At 50.8% G+C, this 16,493-nt stretch overlaps 5 annotated features.

Annotated features, from left to right (window-relative positions):
• Nucleotides 11,631-11,800: an enhancer, noted in NCBI's record as "experimental_60582 CRE fragment used in MPRA reporter constructs". NCBI's record gives its function as "activates a minimal promoter by MPRAs in K562 erythroleukemia cells, with activity observed for both the introgressed and non-introgressed 20:47233817 variant alleles {active_cell/tissue: K562}" and the evidence as "EXISTENCE:reporter gene assay evidence [ECO:0000049][PMID:34662402]".
• Nucleotides 13,354-13,854: an enhancer, noted in NCBI's record as "H3K4me1 hESC enhancer chr20:47235455-47235955 (GRCh37/hg19 assembly coordinates)". NCBI's record gives its function as "activates a minimal SCP1, AML or CMV promoter by ChIP-STARR-seq in primed H9 embryonic stem cells {active_cell/tissue: H9 hESC(primed)}" and the evidence as "EXISTENCE:reporter gene assay evidence [ECO:0000049][PMID:30033119]".
• Nucleotides 13,890-14,598: an enhancer, noted in NCBI's record as "H3K4me1 hESC enhancer chr20:47235991-47236699 (GRCh37/hg19 assembly coordinates)". NCBI's record gives its function as "activates a minimal SCP1, AML or CMV promoter by ChIP-STARR-seq in primed H9 embryonic stem cells {active_cell/tissue: H9 hESC(primed)}" and the evidence as "EXISTENCE:reporter gene assay evidence [ECO:0000049][PMID:30033119]".
• Nucleotides 14,991-15,120: a silencer, noted in NCBI's record as "silent region_12983". NCBI's record gives its function as "represses an Ori minimal core promoter by ATAC-STARR-seq in GM12878 lymphoblastoid cells {active_cell/tissue: GM12878}" and the evidence as "EXISTENCE:reporter gene assay evidence [ECO:0000049][PMID:35858748]".
• Nucleotides 15,421-15,480: an enhancer, noted in NCBI's record as "active region_18023". NCBI's record gives its function as "activates an Ori minimal core promoter by ATAC-STARR-seq in GM12878 lymphoblastoid cells {active_cell/tissue: GM12878}" and the evidence as "EXISTENCE:reporter gene assay evidence [ECO:0000049][PMID:35858748]".

Consider the following 16,493-nt stretch of genomic DNA (forward strand, 5'->3'; position numbering starts at 1 on the left):
AAGAGAAAAGTTTGATGGTGACAGAAGCCAGCAAGAGGACAGAGGGACAGAGGGGATGGAAGTGGCGGGGTCCGGGTCTGGGACTTTAAATGGGGTGACCAAGGATGGCCTCACTGAGAAGCAACATCTGGGTCATGACCAGAAGGAGGACACCAAATCCTCCCTGTGAGGGACACGATCATCATCCTTATTTTCCACGGGAGGCTCAGAGGAGTTCAGTAACTTCCCTGAGGCCACACAGCTGCTGCATGGCAAAGCCTGGTTTCAACTTGAAATCAGGCTCTTGACAGGCTATAACTCTGCTCCTCTACGTCTTGCCGGGGCTCTTGGTCACTCTAGGTCTGAGTGTCCTGGGCTGTGTCTGCCATGAGAGCTCACCCGGGGGCCTGTGACAGCCGCCTGAGAAGGACGCCCCTCCTCCCAGGGCCTTCTCTCCTCACCCCTCCCGATGTTCTAATGAGCAGGGAGAAAAGACATCATACGGCACAGCTAGAATTCATTCCAATATTAATTCTGAAACCTCATTTTCAGCGGATAATTAAATTACTTTTTAATTACAAACAGAATATCTGTACATTCCCTCTGAGTGAGCACGGGCGGGTGGGGAGGGGGAAAAATGGTGCCGCCTGGCATTTCCTGCTCTGTCCCCAGCACACAGCACCCCTGCAAATGGTCCCCTTCTTGTCACATCTGAAGGCTGGGAGCACATGTCCAGGCGACCCACCTGCCCAGTCACCGGACAAATCCCACCAATGAAGCCGTGTTCTCTGCTGCACGCAGGCAGAGCATGAAGCCCCCGCACTGCCGCCAATAGCCACCTACTCCCCAGCCCCTAAAAGTGCTCAAAGGGAGGACATCAAGTTTCCACTAAAACAAGGAGAAAAGGATCCCCTCGAGGTGAGCTAAGGACAGCAGAGACCACATTGCCTCAGATGGGCTGCAGAGAGGGGTCTGCGGTGAAGGCAGATGCGAGCTGTCCTGACCCAGGCACTTCTGCAACCCAGCAGAGAGCCCGGGCCAGGGCACAGTGTCACTGCAGAAAGCGACAGTGGACGGCAGCCTCTTCCCTTCGTGGAGACACATGTCACATGTCTGCAGCTACAGGGTCACAGCAGTGTCCCCTCCTGCTCTCTCCCCAGAGAGCCCCTCCTGCACCCTCTGGGCTGCCTCTGGCTGGAGTGTCCAGGCTGTCCAGGCCTGGGCAGGTGAATGACAGAGGAGGCTCCTAGAGGTGCAGCCTCTTGACCACTGACCAGGTGCAGCCTGGGGACCATCCCCAGGCCCTGGTCACCAAGTTTTTGGGGCAGGGTGGCCTGGTGGCCGCAGACTTTGGGGACAGAGGAGCTGGGTCAGCTCCTGGCTCCACGGCTGAGCAGCTGAGAAGGGGTGAGTGTCTGCTGCCAGCCACAGCTGTGCCCTGGGTGAGGAGAGGGCCCACCTGGGCTGGGGGAGCCCAGAGCTGCCTGGGCAGGGATGAGCATAGATGGTGACGGCCACCCACAGCAGCCCTGTCCATCAGAATCCACCCTCTGCATGACCAGCCCTGAAAGCCACCTTCTGTTGGCTTCTTCCTTCTCCTTGACCTCTGCCTGGCCCGTCCTTGCAGCCCCCGTCAGGGGGACACATGGCTGTCAGCACAGTGCAGCCCCCGGGAGCAGATGGCAGCGTCCAGTCCCCATGTCCTGCCCCACCTGCCTTTCACATGAAAATGGGAGAGACAGCCAGGCAGATGTATACGAAGCCAGGTGCACTGGGCAGTGTGGACGCAAGGCCATGTCCCCACCAGGTGGCTGGAGTAGCTGCTTGACAAATGGCCTCTGCTGGTGCCTGTCACTCCTGCAGCCTCTGTCCCTGGAGCCCTGTCCATCCTCTGCACAGAAATCACACCTGTTATCTCCCCTCCCCCAGCACTCTGCGACCACAGGATGGGAACAGCCAGCCCAGCCTCTGAATGTCCCATGGCCTGGTGAGCACGAGCGGTCCCTTTATTTTAAAGTGACACCCAGATACCCAGGGTGAGGAGCAGAGCCGAACCTTGCTGCTAGGACGAAAACGAAACAGCCCCAAAAGGGAACAGCTGCCACTGAGCTTCCCGGCCCCTCCTCTGCACCTCACAAGGCCCGGGGTCTCGGAACAGAAGTGGACTGGCATTTCACCCAACTGCTTCTTCATTTATTTCTTCCTTCCTTCATTCAGCAAATGCTGACAGGGTCTCCCCACTCAGAAAGGAGGGGATGACGACAGCCTGCTCAAATGTTGTTGGAGGGCCGTAGCTCATGCCTGTAATCTCAGCACTTTGGGAGGCCAAAGCACGCGGATCACTTGAGGCCAGGAGTTTGAGACCAGTCTGGCTTTTTGGCCAACATGATGAAATCTTATCTCTACTAAAAATACAAAAATTTGCTGGGTGTTGTGGTGGGCACCTGTAATCCCAGCTACCGGAGGCTGAGGCAGGAGAATCACTAGAGCCCACGAGGCGGGGGTTGCAGTCAGCCGAGATTGCACCATGGCACTCCAGCCTGGGCGACAGAGCAAGACTCTGTCTCAAACAAAAAACAAACAAATAAACAAACAAACAAAAATGTTGCTGAAGGACTAACACAGCTTTTCGTGGGAGTGCCTGGCACGGCCTGCTGGTAGGAGACGCCGTAGGATGCTTCCTGTCTCAGAACCTCCCCAGAGCCTTGTGCTGGCCTCATTAAAAATGAGTTAAATTTACTGCCCTAAATTTCCAGAATCAATGGGGAAAGGCCAAAAAGCAGAAACCAGGATCCCTGGCCCTAAGGAGCCTCCGTTTTCTCATCTGCAATAGGGGACTGGGGGAAGACAGGAGTTACCTGAGAGGATTCTGCCTGCATCGTGCGCCTGGAGCCCAGTGGGGATTGGATTTCCCAGACACCTTCTCTTCCACTTCTCTCTCTCATGCCTCCTGATCGCTCTCTGAAATTACCTTATTTATTTGATTATTTGCTTATTCTCTGTTTTCCCAGCAGACTGTGACTCGAGTAAGCAGAGAGGACTTCCTAGAAGAGGGGACTTGAGTGGGGACAATGGGATTAAGAGAGGCAGAAAGTTGGTGGGAGTAAATTCCAGGGAGCATAAGGCATTCAAAACCCAGGGCCCAGAGCAGGGATATCACAGGCGCAGTCTTGACTTTTGTTCCCTCCCAGAGGCTCAGACTTATGCCATTGGAGAACGGGTCTTTGAAAATTAATTCAATGTTTTATTCATCCTTAAATGCTTTAAAGCTACAAATCAAACAGTCACTGGGTGCTTTGCTAACCATGTCCTGGGCTCCTGTGTTGCCAATAACTGTGCTCTTTCACATACCAACCTGACCTTTCTCTGTCCCAGGCAAATGAATTTCTCCCAGTGTTCATTGCTCTAATTGCATCCACAGTGAGGCAGAGCAAACATCTTCTCCTCCTGGCTTGCATTATGCAAAACCTTAATCTCCCCAGGTTTCCTAAAGCACTGTGTGATTCGCAGCCTCCCAGTCCAGGAAATGCACTGTTTGATCTGCCAGTCCATATACATTAGATTTACTGGGGCAAATAAAGAGCGTTGATACTATAAACTATTGGGAAATAATGAACGCCCCCCCACTACCAGCCCAAGCATGGACATCCCATATATTTGCCTCTTAGGAAAAAAAATACGTAAGGTTGCTGATCACAAACATATTGTCAGATTTATATCCTGTGTGCAATCAACAAAATGAAGAGGAGAGCGGATTTCTGTCTCGGGCAAACTCTTGGGCTGTCTGGGGCTGGGGCTGGCCCATCCTGATCTTGGGCTAAATTGGCCTAAAGAAAGACCCCTGGAAGGCAAGGCAGGAAGGTAGCATGCTCAGGGTTGTAGCAAGAACACACTAAGAGAGAGCTGGCTTTGAAGCCTGGCTATGCACCTTTGTTGCTTTGTGACATTGAGTGGGAAGGTGGCTCAACCCTTCTGGGCTTCAGTTTCCTCACCTGTCACCAAACCAGACAGCCGAGGGTTAAATGCAGTCCTGGATGGAATCTTTGTTAGGCAGCTTCTGTGCCTGCCAGGCCCTGGCCTGGGGTCTGGGTAAATAGTGGAGACCATGATAGGCAGGACCTTGACCTCAGGGTGCCCAGAGAGAACAGGCCAGGGAAGAAAGCTGTTGACTGGGTAACCTCAGACTATGACAAGGCTTGTGAGAGTGACTGGGGAGAGGACAGTAACATTTACCAGATAACAGAGACTCAACACTATGACAATGGCTGTTGATGAGCACAGCCCTCTCATACCCTGACCTGACCGTGTAACAGAAACTACGAACAGAAACTAGGGTAACGGAAACTGTTACCGTAGAATAGTATATCTGGTGAAAATACCCTTCAAACATGAGGGAGAAATACTTTCCCAGACAAACAAAAGCTAGGGGATTTCATCAACACCAGACCTGTCCAAAAGAAATGCAAAAGAGAGTTCTTCAATCTAAAAGAAAATAATGATAATGAGCAATAAGACATCATCTGAAGGTACAAAATTCACTGGCAATAGTAAGTACACTGAAAAACACAGAATATTATAACACTATAACTGTGATGTGTAAACACTCTTAAGTAGAAAGATTAAAAGATGAACCAATCAAAAATAATAACTACAACATTTCAAGACATACGCAGTAAACATTCCACCATCATTCTCTTTTTCTCTTTCTCTCCCTCCCTCCCTTCCTTTCTGTCTTTTTCTCTCTCTCTCTTTCTTTCTTTCTTTCTTTCGTGGAGCCAGTTAGAGCCATAAATCCATGCCAATTTGATAACCAGCAGCCACCAGCCATGGGCATGCTGGGTTTTGATGCTGGGTGTCAGGACTGAATGCAGCCAAATAAATGCATTCATTAACAGATGTATTATTATTACCATTACTGTTATTCTTTACGTTACCATTTTATAGATGCAGAAACTCTCTCCTACCATGGAATCAGTCATCAGCAAGACATCTCTCTTTGATATGCATCCTGTCTTCCTTCTCTAAACTCCTTTGCCTGGAGTTGAGTAGGAAAGGTATGTCTTGTTCCTTTGAGTTCTTAAGCTACTGTCTCTCAGCCAAAAACCCACTCTCCTCCAAGCTGCTTGGTGATATTGGGCAGTGACTGACCCTGCAAATGACCTTTTGACTTTGCTAGTGACTTCCTGTTGGGCTTTGCCAATGGGGGCACTAGAGGAAGACTTAGAGGCTGGAGAAGAAAGAGAGGACTTGCTCTTTTGTGTATACTTTCTGTTCTTCTTCTTCTTCTTCTTCTTCTTCTTCCTCTTCCTCTTCCTCTTCCTCTTCCTCTTCCTCTTCTTCTTCTTCTTCTTCTTCTTCTTCTTCTTCTTCGTTTGTTTCCCTGTCAATGTCACTGTAGTACCCTCAAACACACCAGCGTTGTTAATCAGCCAGTGCTAGATAATTTTCAGCCCCATCTTCTCACTCTGCAAGGTCCCAGTTGCTACCTCTGTGATACCTCAGTGCAGGGGTTGGTTTTTTTTAAAAGGGTCACATAGTAAATATTTTAGTCTTGTAAGCCCTATGATCTTTGTTGCAACTATGCGTCTCTGGTCTCGTAGTCATAAACAATATATAGACAAATGGGCATGGCTGTGTTCCAATAAAACTTTATTTACAAAAACAGCTCACCCCTGCCTTAGTGTTCTCTGTTTGCATTTCAATTCTTCAATACCTATTTAACGTTTACACACACACACACACACACACACAATTTTTGTTAAAATAACTAGTATGGTTCAGAAACCATAGTATGAAATTTACAAAGCACCAGATTAACCATCTTATCATTGGAACCTCACTCCCCGTGAGGTGTGGATTGTGATAACAACAATAAAAGTCCCCTGACTGGACCCTTACTCAGAAATCAGAATCACAATTATGGTTCACATCTGTCTTACTGAATAAGTCATTTAATGTACTTGCTACTTTTTGTTCTTCAGGTCCAAAGAGCAAAGTGTCATTAATGTAGTGGACCAGTGCAAGTTTTGTACAATGAAAAGATCATCAAGAATCTCCAAAGACTATACTGTGGCCAAAAGCAGAAGAGGTAGCATAGCCTTGAGGCAAGGCTGTGAATGTGTACTGTTGGCTCTCATAGGTAAAAGCAAACTGCTTCTTATAGTCCTTAAAAATTGATCTAGAAAAAATAAAGTATCTGCCAGGTCAATAGCTGCATTTGAGGTGTCAGAGAGTTTGTTGATTTGCTTAAGCAAAGATAGCATGTCAAGAATAGGGGCTGCAATTCACTTCACCACCTGATTAGGTTTATAGTAATCCACAGCCATTCTCCAAGAACCATCTGCCTCTACATGGCCAAAGAGGAAAATTAAATGGGAGATCATTGTATTTACCACCTCTGCATCTTTCAAGTCTTTGAGGATGGCACTCATCTCTGCAAGGCACCTAAAAATGCTATCCTGGCTAGGAGGGAAATTATCCGGGGATTCCACTTGGGCCTTACTACTATAACAGATTTTACTCTATGAGTCTTTCCCATTGCCAGGAAACTTGGAAAACAGCTATAGAGTGTGTCTGCAGGTCTATGGGGTCCACTGTGATTTGAAGTTGGGTCAAAATTCCACTTATTATTTGACTTCTGTAAAGAAATCAGGCAAGAGGCTATGACTCCATAGTGATAGTTTGTGGCCATCAGATCTGGAGTTTTTCTATTACGTAGGTAGATCAAATAATGTTTTGATACATTGCCCATCTACTTCATGTCTGAGGACATCATAATGAATAAGCCATTGCTAAAGATTCCCTGAAAGTCAAAACATTGTAATTACCACTTCTTTTCTTCTGGAAAACACGGCAAATATGCCCATCTTGTCTTCAGGGGATAAATGCTGTCACATGTCCTCATCCTCACTGATATCTCCCACCTGGCATCTCCCCCGGCATCTCCACCGCCCTGCCTGGCCCATTCAGAGCAGCCACCACGGAGATTTTTAAGGATGCAGGTGCTCCCTCCTTAGCATATTTCTCGATGCCTAAGTGAACAGAGTGTCTGTCAGCCCCTCTGAGGGCATGTAATGTGCTGGGGGAGTGATGGTGCATGTCATTCATGGTAAAGCCACTCCAACATTCCTATCTCCCGAACCCTTTGGATATTTTCCCTTACATTGTGCAATGAGCATTCTCCTATCCCACTCTTATTAAATGAGGGCTGCCACTGGGACCAAGTGTAGTTATCAACCAAGTAATCGGAGCCACTTCCAGCCTTAACGAACTTACTGTGAAATTCAGAATTCCTAGTAAGTGCACCCATATCAATACCTTTACCATGAGGCAGTGTTATATGCTGACCTCTTTAGTCTAACACTCTTATCATCTATTCATACACATATTCTGCAGGTTTCTGCTAATGTAAATTAGCAAGATCTTTCCAATGTTTTGGTGTATATGCTATTTCCTCTTAGGGGGACTTTGTGCTGGTCCCCCTGCAATAGGCTGATATCTGACCCTAGATTAGTAGCAGCAAAGGTGGAGTCTAGGTAGCTTCTTTCAAGGCAGCCTTCTAATGACCTTGTAAGGAGACACGGGAGGGAGGCTGCTTCTACTTGGTTCCTTTTCCATTAAAAAAAAATGTGGTTTTCAATGCCCACTATGAAGGCAGATACTTAGTAGGTTTATAATAGATACTTTTTAAATGAATGAATAAACAACATTTTTTTTTCTTTGAGACGGAGTCTCACTCTGTCGCCCAGGCTGGAGGGCAGTGGTGCGATCTCGACTCACTGCAAGCTCTGCCATTCTCCTGCCTCAGCCTCCCGAGTAGCTGGGACGACAGGCATCCGCCACCACGCTCGGCTAATTTTTTTGTATTTTTAGTAGAGTCAGGGTTTCACCATGTTAGCCAGGATGGTCTCGATAAGGATAAGGGCCAAGCATTTGAAATTCTATTTTTTAATTTATAATAAAGTAACTTCCAAAATTCAGTCTTTCCCCCCAGTTAAACCTCATTTAAACAGAACACCTGTCTACCTCCTAAGAAGCTCCTACTCTGGCTCAGTGGGAAGCCCCTACAGACCAGGCTGGGGGCTGATCCCCCCAAGTCTCCACATCTGGAAACATGATCCCTTGTACCTATTAGGTGCTCAGTAGATGTCGGCTGAGTGAATGGATGTGGGGATTTTGCCTCCAGAGGGCTTTTCCAGAGCTACCTGTATCAGCTGGGCACTGGTCACACTTCACCTTCCTTCTCTGGGTTGCACTCAAAGAGATAAACTGATCTTACTTTCCTGGTGAAAATCCTCTTCCGCTCATAAACTGATACCATTCTAGTGACCAACAGCTAGCCGACCATGAGTGTGGTGGGTTCCCGCTGTCAGATCTCAGGGCTGAATGCAAATCCAGCCTTGCCTCAATGGCCCTCTTGGTACCCTCATCCTCTCCAGGGAAGCAGCTCCTTCCCAGGCACCCTCTATAATCAGTGACAGCATAGATGATTGGTTGAGGCCTTAGCACGGGTAATACAGTCAACATCACTGGTGCCAACCTGAGAGTCCCTCCTCGCCTTCCAACCTGACTCAACCCCTGTGTGGTCCAAGCACTTGGGAGCCACGAGTTTCAGAACACAGGCTCTGCCCCAGCCCCCGGACATGAATCTTGATGGATCCAAGCCAGAGTTCTCAACTTTGTCAGACCCATGACCTCTTCCAAAGAAGAATTGTGCTTAATGTCTCTTTACTGCCCTGAAATGAAAGTCATAAATAATTAACCTATAACATCATACACCTACTTAAAAACTCATTACAATGCCCTAAGTGGACTATAAAAAGAAATAAAAGGACAATAATTTTTAATGAAATAATAACTTGTAATAAATTAAATCATATTTCAATAGGCAAATGAACAGACACAGACACAGGCACACACAGAGATATAACCAATAGTTAGATCCTAGCCAACTTCTACAGAAGAAGTTTGGATGGAAGAGAAGATCAGGAGTTGCGCTACAACAGAAGGGCAGAAAAATAAAGACACTTGAATATAAATATTATATTCGGTGTACGGTAAAATCTTACAAAAATATCTTGTTTTGATATTAAATTGATGTCGGTTCTAGGCTAAGATGATTAAATGGCTCTTCACACAAGAGCGACCAGAGGAGAAGTGAAATTCGTGTGGGAAACAGGACGGTCTGTCTTATGTGGACTGTCCTGCGCCTTGGAGGCATCCAGCATTCCCAGCCCCACCCAGCTGAATGCCAGCAATATTACCAGTCATTGAGCCAAGCCACCCCCACATTTCCATACAACCTCAGAGGCTGTACCTCTCTGGTGAAAAAGCACTGGCCAAACCATGATAATTCCACTTCCTCTGCCAGCACCAGGCCTAACAATGCGCTTGGGATGCAATTTTGGCCAAAGTTACAGGCAATCCAATCTGCTGGGGGCTTCTGGGAAAGGGTTCCAGTCTCTTATAAAGAGGCACTAGGAAGAGACGCGTTCTTTCTTTTGCTTTCACCTCTTGCACAAGGGTGGGACGCCTGGAGCTGTGGCGCAATCCTACGAGCTTCAGAGTGCAAGCCTGAGGGTCAGGCCAATGTGGAGAGCACAGTGGGAAGTTGAAAAGAATCAGGGTCCCTGGTGATCCCCACCTCTGTACCAGCCAAACCAGAAGTGCTAGGAAGTCCACTGGATTTCTTGATTCATGGAGACATAAGATATTGTCCCTATGATGTAAGAACAATAGGATACTTATTGTGGATTTCTCTGCTGCTTGAAGCCAAAAGCATCCCACCTGTGACAGGTAGAGTCTTTTTGCTTATTACCATAATCCCTTCTACTTGATAAGCAAAACCTTTGAAATGTGCAAAGCGCCAGACTAACCATCTTATCATTGGAACCTCACTCCCTGTGAGTTATGGATTATGATCCCCATGTACAGACAGGAGCACTGAGACCAGGGAGGAGGGGAAGTGATTTGCCCAGCGCCAGGCCCTGTGTTGCCCCAGGGCAGTGCTCCTCCTCTCCCCCACTGCACCCAGGAAGCCTTTGCTATTCTGTGATCTGATGCCTCTTTGGGACTCCATGCTCTAAATATCTACCCCACCCTCATCACCATTTCACATTCTCATTCTTGGGGTGGCGTCCCTGGATTGAAGAACTGTGACTCTCGGCATTTCCTACTAAAATATGCATATCTCATCTTAAAAGAACTAATACATATTCATTAGCACAAATAAATTCTTCATTAGTTCTCAGATATGGCAGGCTTTGAAAGAAATAAGACATGAGACGGGTGAGTTTTGAGCTGAGTTCATTCATCGTGCCAGGGTGAGCTTTCATTTACTCATTCACTCAATGAATATTTAGGAGGCACATCCTATGTGCTGGACACTGGGCTATGTCCTGGAGCCACAGCCTCCTACTCTCCATGGCTCCTGCCCTCATGGAGCTGGCCTTCTAGTGGGATGGCACAGTCAAAACCATAAGCAAGATAATCGCAGATTCGATAAACCCCAAGGAGGAACTTGTACAGCCTGATGGAATCAAATGTGACTCCACAGGGACTCCCTTAGTCAGGGCGGTCAGTGAGGGTCCCCTGGTGGAGGAGAAATGTGAGCTAAGACCCAGAGGATGAGGAAGCCAGCCATGACAAGATCTGGAGGGAGAGCATTTTAGGCCCAGCAAGTGCAAAGGCCCTGAGGTGGGCATGTGCTTGATGCCAAGTGAGCAGGGGAGGGAGGTGTGCAGTGAAGGTAGGGACCAGATCACATAGGATCTTGGATTTTATTTCAAGAGCAATGGGAAGTCATTGAAGATTGTAGATGACAGAGTGGCATCATCTCTCTTGCACTTTATAATGCTCGCTCTGGTGGCTGGAAGAATGGATCATGGAAGCAAGCACAGATCGAGGAGGCCCCATAGGAGGCTGTCTCAGTCCACCAGCTTGGATTAGGAGGTCATGGACAAGGTGTGAGCCATGGATGGAACTTGGAGGGCATGCTGTCCATGGGCTGGGGTCCAGGATACAAGGTACAAGCTGCACTGCACAGGACTGTCTTGTGGGTGTAGGCATCAGGACTGGGAAGGCCCACAATGGGACAGGCCCTGCTCCCACTGCAGCACGGGCCTGTGAGTATGGCCCATTGTGCCCGGGGAGCCTGGCATGAGGGAAGAGTGACAGCATGCAGAGCGGGCAGCAGGATCGAAAGAGGCCAGAGAGAAACCCTGAATCCTTACTCTATGGAGGACTGGAAACTCAGGAGGGCACTGTCAGATCAGGCAGAGGACCCGGTGACCCAGGGCCAGACCGGACTGTGTGCCCTGGAATGTTCTGTGCCCCGATGCCACTTCCTGGATGTGCAGGATAGACACTCAAGAGTTCACTCAAAAGCAACAGGACTAAGGAGCATTCCTCCACCCAGGCTCTGTGAACACCTCTGCTCTCAGGGCAGATCCTGGGTCCTGGATTCTGTGCCCAGTTTGTGGGTTTTGTTTTTTTTTTAGACGGAGTCTTGCCAGGCTGGAGTGCAGCAGTGCAATCTCGGCTCATTGCAACCTCCGCCTCCCGGGTTTAAGCAATTCTCATGCCTCAGCCACCCAAGTAGCTGGGATTACAGGTGTGTGACACCACTGCTGGCTAATTTTTATATTTTTAGTAGAGATGGGGTTTCACCACATTGGCCAGGCTAGTCTCGAATGCCTCACCTCAAGTGATCCACCTGCCTCAGCCTCCCAAGGTGCTGGGATTACAGGTGTGAGCCATCACACCCGGCCATACGATGCATAATCTATATGATGACTGTGTGTGTGTTTACTCTCCAGGTAAGAGGGGAGGAAATAATAATAACAGTTGGCACTCACTGTGCATTTACAATGCTGGAGGCATTTGCTAAGCACTTGAACCAGCTGATTGCTCCAAGTCCCACGATAACCCTGGGAGGGAGGTACTTTCATTTACTCCCCTTTGACAGGTGAGAAAACTGAGGCTCAGAGTGGTCACGTCCAAGAACACACAGCCAGCAAGTGGCAGAGCTGGAATCTGAGCCGAGGCCCATCTGGCGGCTCCTCATTCTGGGATCAGGCTGAAGCCACTGTGGGGCATCGGTGGTGACACTGAGGGCTAGGGCAGGTGTGCAGGGAGCAGTGGCCCAGCAGCTGTAGGCTCTGCGCCCTCTGCCACATCCAGCCCTCAGAGCACCCATTCAGGGTCAGAACCCAGCATAGACTTTAATCCCGCAGTTCTGGCAGCTGGAGGGGAGGGGATGCCCGTGGGCAGAGGTTCTGTGGAATTGGCAGAACCCTTCCCCACCCCACACTCAGCCACAGGCTTCATCCTCTCATCTCCCAGCTTTGTCTGGAATGGTCTCCTCTTTCGAGTAAACCCTACTGATTCTGCCTAATTAGCTCTTCATATGAAATCCCCAGTTACTCTGGGAGCAGCCTCCATGGCGGATCTCCCTGGAGCACGGAGGTGGAGACGCAGGCGAACACACCTCTCTGCAAACTGAATGGATGCAATTGGTCCCCAGGGCCTGAGTCTAACATGGGCCCTGGGCCTCACTTTCCCAGAAGGCCTGGATTCCTAAATGTGGGAGTCACCTTCAAATGAGGCTGCGTCTAGAGTCTCAGAGAAACGAGGACTGTGAGGACCCAGTAGCCCCCTTGGGGCAGTCACCCACAGCCTGGCGCTGATCAAAGGCTTTGCCTGCCCCTCCAACCCCGACACCGGGAACATGCGGTTGGGAGCCCATGCTGCAGATGGGGAAACCGAGACACAGACGAGTCAAGTGACTTGCCCAGGAATCCAAACCCAGGAATCCGGACCCAGGGAGTCCGGCCACAAAGCTCAGGCACTGACCCACGAGCCCTAATCCCCATCTTTACAGCCCCCTCCTTCCCGTCCTCACGCCCAGATGCACCTGGGATGAACGTACTTTTACAAAGTCAATGTAGTTCTTATTTCCTGAACAGCACCACGATAAAGAGTTCGTTTGTTCCTTCAACATTTCAGCCAGCCCGTGGTTTCTATAGCCCTTTCTTGGCATTCCTTCACTTTTAATACACTGGAAGCCCCAAGAGGGAAGCCCCCTGGGTCTTTCCTTGGTGACCTGCTTCTGCCAGCAGCGAGTGGGGCTGCGGGTGGGGACCCAGGACCTGGGACAGGACAAATCCCGGCTCAGAGGCTCCTTGACTGCGTGCCCCTCGGGGAGCGCCTTCCCCCTTCAGCTCCTTCAGCTCCACAGTGGGAGGACAGCGACAACCATGGTGCCCCCCTAGGGCTCTCGTGAGGATTCAGTGAGGTGATGTGCACAGCCTGCGACACACAGTAGGGGTTCAATCAGCACCAAGCATCAGTGTCCCTGCAGTCCCTATGGGGCACGGGGATCTGCCTCACCTGTTAATCAGGAGGAGGAAGGCGAGTCTTTCCTTTTCTTTTTGGAGTCAGTCTCTCACTCCATCACCCAGGCTGGAGCGGAGCAGTGGTTTGATCATGGCTCACTGCAGCCTCGACCTCCCTAGGCTCGGGTGATCCTCCCACCTCAGCCTGGGACCACAGGCTTGCACCACCACCCCAAGCTAATTTTTTTTCTTTATTTTTAATAGAGACAGGGTCTCACTATGTTACCCAGGCTGGTCTCAAACTCCTGCGCTCAAGCAATCCTCCAGCCTCAGCCTCCCAAAGTGCTGGGATGACAGGCGTGAGTCAGGGCACCTGGCTCTAGACTTTCGTCGACGTCCTTTCTGGCTCAGACATTCTGAGCCTCCACCATCGGGTAGGGTCAGACCTTCTGAGCCTCTGCCATCCAGACAGACCCAGATGGATCAGAGGAGGGTGCGAGGGTGAGGGTGAGGCAGAGTGTTCCCAGTCCCTCTTTATGGCCAAGACTCTGCAAACAGGACATGGATCTGGCTTGGATAGGACACAGATGTGACAGCCCTCATGTCTCCCCAGCCTCAGTGCCCCAGGACCCCCTGCCCTCTTCCTGACAGCAGGGGATGTGAGGGAAGGAGGGCAGCCCTGCATCCCACACCCAGGCCCCCTCCCCTCCCCTGATACCCAGCAGCCACGGGTCCATCGTCTTCCAGTGTCAGCCACGCACCATGAAAACAGATACCACCCACCGGGGCCATTCCTGTGCTGTTTTTCAAAGAGCTGTTTGGGCCAAAAGCCAGCAATGCAAGTCTGTGTGCCCTGCAGGGCTGGCCCTCCTCCAGCTCTTCATCTCTGAACCTCCTGTCCCTGGAGCAGCTCATCTCAGCCCTGCCAGTGTCTGGAAAGTGCCCATCATCACCTACAGCTCTAGGAGGGCTCTGGCGAAGCACAAATCAGGACCTGAGAGCATCTCCCGTTACCCATCAGCCCCGTGGCGGTGACATGTGTCCAGCAGGCAGCAGAGCCACTGGGAGGGGCACAGGGTGGGTTGGCTCTGATTGGAGCGGACATGGCAAGAAGGATCTGGAGGTGGAAGCCAGGGCAGCAGGGCCAGCTGCAGGGTGGGGGTGCTCGGGCAGCCCAGCATGGGGAACTGGAGCCTGGAAAGTGCTGGAAGGGAAACATTGCAGGAAGCAGGAGGACAGGGAAGCACCCACCCCACATGCTGGGCAGAGGCTGGCTAGGGACCCGCCCTGGGAGTGGATGGACTTGAATCCTGGGCCCCTCTGCTGAGACCCTCAGGACTTCGGGATGGGAAAACAGAACAGCACAGGGCCGCTGCAGTGACCCAGGGAGAGGAGCTGAGCCAAGCCACCCTCACGCACCCAAGGACCTGCCCCTGGGCCACACCCCAGACAGAGCCCCGGGCTCAGGGTCTGGAGCCACACGGCCTGGGCTCAAATCCAGCCACTGTCCTTGTGAGCAAACTTTGGCTGCAATAATGGGAGGTGCAGCTGGTGAAGGCGCTGGCAGCGGAGGCATTTCCTTAGCATCCCTCTCCTAACCACCCCTGCCCCACTCCAGCCCTCCAGGGAACGCTACCAGTGCCCGGAGGGAGGCAGCTTCAGGCTTGGCTTTCGGCCTCCCCTGCCTGCAAACCCCGAGCTCCAGGCTTGCAGTGGGAGCCTCCCAGGAGCTCTGGGCAGGAGGCCCGCAAGGCTAGGCGGGGCGCCCTGGCCCACAGCGCCATCTAGTGGCCGTCACTTCCACAAAGGTGCACCAGTGACTGTGGGTTTCTGGTCACAAGCTTCGTAAGCACCCCGCTTTACAGTGCATAAGGGCCTTTCATATCCTTCTCCTCCAATCAGAAGAGAGGAAGGGAAAAAAGAGAAAAGAGAGAAGGGAAAGATCCCCGAAAGGAAAGAATTGAAAAATCGAGTCAAGCTCACAGACATATGTTATGGGACAAAGACAAATATAGAAAAGCTTAGAGAGAGAGAAAGAAAATGAGGGGGACGAAAGTAAGAAAGAGACAAATTTTAAAAAGTTTTTAAAAAGAGAGAAAAAAAGAGAAAATATTCACGGCAAGCCCAGCCCAGGAGAGGGATAGCGCCAGTGCCCATTGTCCAGACGATTCCAGGCCCCGCCTCCAGGCTGGCTCTGTCCCAAATACCTGCACCCAGGAGCCAGCCTTCGGTCTGAGTGCTGGAGCCCGGGGAACAGCAGCCTCTGGGCACTACGCGGTCCCCAGCACCACCTGCTGGACAGACAGGGCACTACACTTATCCCGGGAAGTTCCACTTTGGGGCCCTGGAGGAGACTCCTGGTACCCCCGCAAGGCAGCCAGGTGGGCGTAAAGTCTCCATTTCTCAAAGAAGGAAGCTGAGGGTCCCAGAAAGACAGAGAATCTCAGATATGGCCACTCAGCAAGTATCAGGTGTTGACAGATTCAGGAGCAGGCGAGGGTGTCTGACTTCAAAGGTCCTAGTCCAGCCCCCCATGAATGAACCCACGTGGCAGACACAGAGGTTAGAGGGGCCCGCTTGGCCACAGATGGGTGTGGCTTGCGCCCCCCGCTCTGATCACTGTGCTAACCCTGCTTTCTTCTATTAATATTTAGCCGTGATTCACCACTGTCTGGCCCTGGGCTACAGTATGGAAGGGGTGTGGTTCCTGCTCTTACTGCTGGGGGGAAGGTGGACAGGAAGTACACCAACAGTTATTTAGATAAAATCATAAAGCGGTCAACACACCCCATCGTACCTTCCACTTCCTGGGTGGCCTCTGTTGCAGTCCACGCCAAGGGGCCATCTCTGGGTCAGCACCTTTTGACAGATGAAAAAACTGAGGCTCAGAGGAATTCAACCACCTGGGCCCTGCCCTCATCCTGGAGGAGCAGAGAAGGAGAGGCTCCGAGAGACGTCAATGCGGGGCTGCGCCTGCCCCTTGATTCTCCATTGGACGGCACAGTGACTCCGGGTCACCAGGTCCTCCCCGAGCTGACATCGCCATGGCAAGTCCAGAGCTAAGGATCTGGCCGTCAGCGTGAGCAGGCCGGATGAGTGCTCGGACCACGTGGCTCCGGGGAGCTGGAGAGCTGGCACCCTCCTCAAGAAGACAGCCGCTCCTCAGCTCCAGCTGACATG

The sequence above is a fragment of the Homo sapiens genome, chromosome 20 (assembly GCF_000001405.40).
Source record: "Homo sapiens chromosome 20, GRCh38.p14 Primary Assembly".
NCBI lineage: Eukaryota > Metazoa > Chordata > Mammalia > Primates > Hominidae > Homo > Homo sapiens.